Here is a 6,000-nt window from a genome sequence, read left to right as displayed (position 1 = left end):
CCTCTGCTTGGCCCGCAGAGGAGGAAGGGTGGTGGGAGCAGGGGTCATCACCCCGACCCCTCATCCCCTCAGACACCTCCAGATTGCTTCAGGGTTTGGCTCCCTAGGGATATAACTGATGCCACAAATCACAGGGTGGCAGGTCAGGGTGGCAGGTCAGGCTAGTTCTTTACAATGTGGATGGGAATCCAGGAGCCAGGAGCGGGGTCTGGTGGGAGGGTGAGGGAGGGGGAGCAGCCCCTGTGCCCGGCTCACTCCTGAGGGGTCACAGTGAGGGCAGGGAGGAGCCTTGTGCTGGGGGTGCGGGAAGCAGGGAAAGAAGAGGGGATGGAGGAGGAAGAGAGAAAAGAAAACAGTGAAGGAGGGCCAGGTGTGGTGGCTCATGCCTGTCATCCCAGTGCTTTGGGAAGCCAAGGCGGGTGGATCGTCTGAGGCCAGGAGTTCAAGTAACACAGCTGGGCAACACAGTGAGACCTTGTCTCTACCAAATAATTTTTATTTTTTGTTTATTTACTTATTTTTTTGAGACAGAGTCTTGCTCTGTTGCCCAGGCTGGAATATAATGATGTGATCTCGGCTCACTGCAACCTCCATCTCTTTGTTTCAAGCAATTCTCATGCCTCAGCCTCTCAATGAGCTGGGACTACAGGCACCTGCCGTCATGCCTGGCTAATTTTTGTAGTTTGTTTGTTTGTTTATTTGTTTATTTATTTATTTTTGAGACAGAGTCGCGCTCTGTCGCCTAGGCTGGAGTGCAATGGCACGATCTCGGCTCACTGCAACCTCCACTTCCCAGGTTCAAGTGATTCTCCTGCCTCAGCCTCCTGAATTGCTGGGATTACAGGTGCCTGCCACCACGCCTGGCTAATTTTTTGTATTTTTAGTAGGGACGGGGTTTCACTATGTTGGGCAGGCTGGTCTCGAACGTCTGACCTCGTGATCTGCCCGCCTCGGCCTCCCAAAGTGCTGGGATTACAGGCCTGAGCCACTGCGCCTGGCCTAATTTTTGTAGTTTTAGTAGAGACAGGGTTTCACCATGTTGGCCAGGCTGGTCTCCAACTCCTGGCCTCAAGTGATCTGCCCACCTCAACCTCCCAAAGTGCTGTGATTACAGGCGTGAGCCACCGTGCCTGGCCTACAAGATAATTTTTAAAAATTGGCCAGGCGTGGTGGGGCACACCTATGGTCCCAGCTACTCAGGAGGCTGAGGCACGAGGATAGCTTGAACCCAGGAGTTTGAGGCTCCAGTGAGCTATGATTGCACCACTGCACTCCAGCCTGGGCAACAGAGTGAGACCCTGTCTCAAACAAAGAAAAGAAAACAGTGGAGGAGAAGGAAAAAGAGCGCAGGAAAAAAGGAGAAATCAAGGGAAGATAGAAAAAAAAGACGAAGTAAAAACAAAGACGAGCAAGTCAAGGGGCAAGAAAGGAAGAAGGGAGGAGGAAAACTGTGATGGGGAAGGAGGAAGCTGAGAAAAGAAGGGAAGGAAAAAGAAAGAGTGGAGGATGAATTAAGGGAGGAGGAAGAGGCCAAGGAAAAGGAGAATAAAAATAAAGGTGAAAGGAGACAGAGAAAAGCACAAGGAAAGAAGAAGAGGAGGAATTGAAGTGGGAGAGAGAGAGAGAAGGGAGAAGCAAAGCTGCCAGGCACTTCCTGGGCCCTGGGAGCTGAAATGCAGGCACCGGAGCTGCCAGGAGGGGAGCTGGGGCAGGGCTGTTACGAAGAGCACAGTAGGCGCTATGAAGATCTATTGGGCCCCGCAGTGCCATTGTCTTCAGAAGGAATTAAAAACAAATTGCTGAGGGCCAGCACATAATTTAAAGACTCACGGCAATTTTATGACTTGCTAATGTTCCTAATTACATGCCCGTGAAAGGCTTAATTAATTGGGGGATGTAGCAAAAAGTGGAGCCTGTGTTTGTTATCATGGTTCCACTGCATTGATTTTAGTGCCTATGGAGAATTTAGGGCCTCTTTATTTGCACAAAGAAAATGCAAGTCTCTCGAAAAAATGCACATTAAGATCAACCCCTCGCTGCTATCTAATATACTTTCCTCTACTTAACCAAAGCGCTTGTAATCATATTTTGTAAATGTTGGTGCCGTTAATTGCATTGTGAGGGAAAATAGGTTCTGCTTGGCTGGTTGTGGAGAATTTTATAAAGTTCGTTCCTGGTGCCCCATTCCAGGGGACTCTTCCCAGGAAACTTGCGGAGAAGTTGGGAAGCCCAGCCTGGGAAGCTGGCACGGCTGCCCTGAGATTCTCTGCTCCTGGCCGTGTCTTGACTGCCACTCCTGCTGCCAGGGCCCTGATGGCCAAGGGGAGTTGAGCCTGTGCAGGAGTGGGATTGAGGGCAGTGGGCATGGGAGGAAGCCTGCAGATGGATGTTCCTCTCAACAGCACTGGAACAGAGGACATTTCTGGTGTGGGCCCAGCCACACCTTATCTGTGAGGCCTTAGGTAAGGCCCTTAGCTTCGCTGATCCTCAGTTTCTTCATCTGTGACATGGGGTGGTGGTGCCCACTCTGCTGACACCCTCAGATTGCTGTGATGATCAAACAAGAGAATGGAAGTGAAGGGAGGTCCTGATGTCAGGCTTGTGGCTGTTTCCATCAGCTGCTGTCTCTGCTTTTCCTTCCTCAGGGCACCACAGAGAAGTTCTCCTTCCAGCTGGGAGCTCTGTGTGACAGGGGTGACCACCCACACTCTGCCTTTCTTTTTTTTTGAGATGGAGTCTCACTCTGTCACCCAGGCTGGAGTGCAGTGGGGCAATCTTGGCTCACTGCAACCTCTGCCTTCCGGGTTCAAGAGATTCTCCTGCCTCAGCCTCCCGAGTAGCTGGGACTACAGGTACGTGCCACCACACCCAGCTAATTTTTTATTTTTTATTTTTTTTAGTAGAGATGGGGTTTTACCACGTTGGCCAGGCTGGTCTCAAACTCCTGACCTCAGGTGATCCCCACCCGCCTTGGCCTCCCAAAGTGCTGGGATTACAGGCGTGAGCCACCGCGCCCAGCTCACACTCTGCCTTTCTACAGGGAGGGGCACAAGGAGGTTCAGCTGGAGATGGGCTGGGTCCCTGAGATCCAGGGGAGGAGCAGTTCCTGTCACCGTCTGAGAAGCTGTTCCTGACGCTGCTCCCTCCCTGAGAATGGGCACTCACCTTTCCTCTCCCCTCCCACTGGCCCAGAACTTTCCCCACAGGTTGTCATTGTCGGTGACTGCAAATTCCTTCAGGACAGGGACCAGGCCTCTCACCCTCCAGCCCCAGTGTGTCCCTAGAATCTGGCACCTTGGGAGACACTCAATAGCATTTTACTGAATGAATCAGTGAATCAATGAAATCACTAATTTGGGCAATGGGGCTGAGTCACAGTGGGCTAACCAGGCTCAGCTTCTTATTTCTTCCTCTCTGGCTGAGTTCGCTGATCAATGGTCTCTTCCCATCTACCAATCTCCACCTCACACACACACTCCTCAGGGACCCCTCTCTGGGCAAAGAGGGTCTTCTTCCAGAGAAGATCGGAATAGTTGGGACCCTGCCACCATGCTTCCTCCCTACAATCCATCCCTACATGGTGACCAAAGGGACCCTTTAAAAAATGCAGATTAATGGCCGGGCGCAGTGGCTCATGCCTGTAATCCCAGCACTTTGGGAGGCTGAGGAGGGCAGATCACTTGAGGTCAGGAGTTCAAGAACAGCCTGGCCAATGCAGTGAGACCCCCATCTCAACTAAAAATACAAAAATAGGTCGGGTGTTGTGGCAGGTGCCTGTAATCCCAGCTACTTGGGAGGCTGAGGCACGAGAATCACTTGAACCTGAGGGGTGGAGGTTGCAATGAGCCGAGATCACGTCACTGCACTCTAGCCTGGGTGGCAGAGAGAGACTCTGTCTCAAAATAATAATAATAAAATACATACAAATGCAGATCAACTTACGTCAAGTTCCTGATTAAAGTCCCCCACACCACTTCCCATAAAAGCCTCTCACGGGGCCTACAGGGCCTATCACTGTGGTCAGGCCCCTTCCTATCTCTGGCATCTCATCCTGTATTGCCCTCCCTTAAAATCACCCACACTGCCCAGAACACTGTTTTCCTTCTGTTCTTCAACAGGCCAAGTTCAGTCTGGCCTTGGCCTTTGCACTTGCTGTGTCCTCTGCCTGGGATACTCTTCTCCGTCTCTTTGCATGGCTGGCTCCATCTCTTCATTCAAGTCCTATCTCAAGAGTCTTCCTCCAAACCTCTTCCCTGACCACCAATCTCATGTCATTTCTTTTTTAAACATGGGAGATAGACAAATTTTTGGGGTTCTCTGTTTGATGACTCCACAATATGAAATCCACAGGCTCCCCATCGGGTGCTCACTGTTTTGGCAGACGCTCACTCATGGTTGTGTATTTCCTTGGGTGATGTGTGGTTTTGAAATGCGGGCTCAGGCTCAAAGAGCTTTATGTAGGAGAGTCATAGACACCTGTATTGAAGGTTTGTCTCTCCAGAGAGGATCTGTATTTATCTCAATCCTAAGGCTGTTACCAATGTAGGTCTGTTTTAGTTCACTTATTGCCTTGGGTTTTTCTGCTCTCCATGGGTGGTGTACAGCTGAGACCCACCCCATATGAAGACAGATCGATGGTTATAGAATTCCCAGGAGAGGCTTTTATATTTTCTTTTTCTTTCTTTCTTTTTTCTTTTTTTTTTTTTTTTGAGATGGAGTTTTGCTCTTTCACCCAGGCTGGAGTAAAGTGGCACGATCTTGGCTCACTGCAACATCCGCCCCCTAGATTCAAGCGATTCTCCTGCCTCAGCCTCCCGAGTAGCTGGGACTACAGGTGCCTACCACCATGCCCAGATAATTTTTGTATTTTTAGTAGAGACGGGGTTTCACCATGTTGGCCAGGCTGGTCTCGAACTGCTGACTCTTTGTGATCCGCCTGTCTCGGCCTCCCAAAGTGCTGGGATTACAGGCATGAGCCACTGCACCCAGCTACAGTTTCTTTTTCTTCATATGTGTGGTTTTGTTTTTTTTGTTTGTTTGTTTGTTTTTGTTTTTTGTTTGTTTGTTTTTGAGACAGTCTTGCTCTGTTGCCCAGGCTACAGTGCAGTGGCGCGATCTTGGCTCACTGCAACCTCCGCCTGCCGGGTTCAAGCAGTTCTCCTGCCTCAGGCCCCCGAGTAGCTGGGACTGCAGGCACCCACCACTATGCCCGGCTAATTTTTGTATTTTTAGTAGAAACAGGGTTTCACCATGTTGGCCAGGCTGGTCTCGAACTCCTGACCTCGTGATCCATCCGCCTCAGTCTCCCAAAGTGCTGGGATTACAGGTGTGAGCCACCTCACCTGGTCTACATTTTCTTTAAAAAAATTTCATTTTAGAGATGTGGTCTTGCTGTGTCATCCAAGCTGGAGTGCAGTGGTGCGATCATAACTCACTGCAGCCTTGACCTGGGATCAAAAGACCCTCCTGGCCAGGCACAGTGGTTCACGCTTGTAATCTCAACACTTTGGCAGGCCAAGGTAGGAAGACTGCTTAGGGAGGCCAAGGTAGGAAGATTGCTTAAGTCCAGGAGTTGCAGACTAGTCTGGGAAACATAGTGAGACCCCATCTCTACAATTTTTTTTTTTAATGAAAAGAGAGAGAGATCCTCCCACCTCAGCCTCCGCAGTATCTGGAACTACAGGCACTTGCCACCACGCCTGGTGGCTTTTTCATTTTCACTCGAGTCCAGGTGAAGACAGGAGCAGTCTTCTTTGTTTTGACTCCTGGAGATTTCCCTCAATTTTTTGCCACTTGACTGTACCTGTGGTAAGATGTTTGTTATATTTTTTTACCCGGCATTTCTAGGTGTTTTGTATTGGAAGGTTGTCTGCAGGGTGTCCAGTCCATTGTATTGCTAAGGAATGGAGGCCTCTCAGGCATTCTCAATCATAAGTCCCACTTCTATTGTCTTCATAACACTTGTCATACTTGAGATGATGATTGTCATTTGTTTACTTG

At 49.9% G+C, this 6,000-nt stretch overlaps 1 annotated feature.

The window, feature by feature from the left end:
* Positions 2,122–2,789: an enhancer, noted in NCBI's record as "H3K4me1 hESC enhancer chr17:35194089-35194756 (GRCh37/hg19 assembly coordinates)". NCBI's record gives its function as "activates a minimal SCP1, AML or CMV promoter by ChIP-STARR-seq in primed H9 embryonic stem cells {active_cell/tissue: H9 hESC(primed)}" and the evidence as "EXISTENCE:reporter gene assay evidence [ECO:0000049][PMID:30033119]".

This window comes from Homo sapiens, chromosome 17, assembly GCF_000001405.40.
Source record: "Homo sapiens chromosome 17, GRCh38.p14 Primary Assembly".
Lineage (NCBI taxonomy): Eukaryota > Metazoa > Chordata > Mammalia > Primates > Hominidae > Homo > Homo sapiens.
Note: the sequence above shows the minus strand (reverse complement) of the source record. Positions and strands in the feature narration are given on the sequence as shown.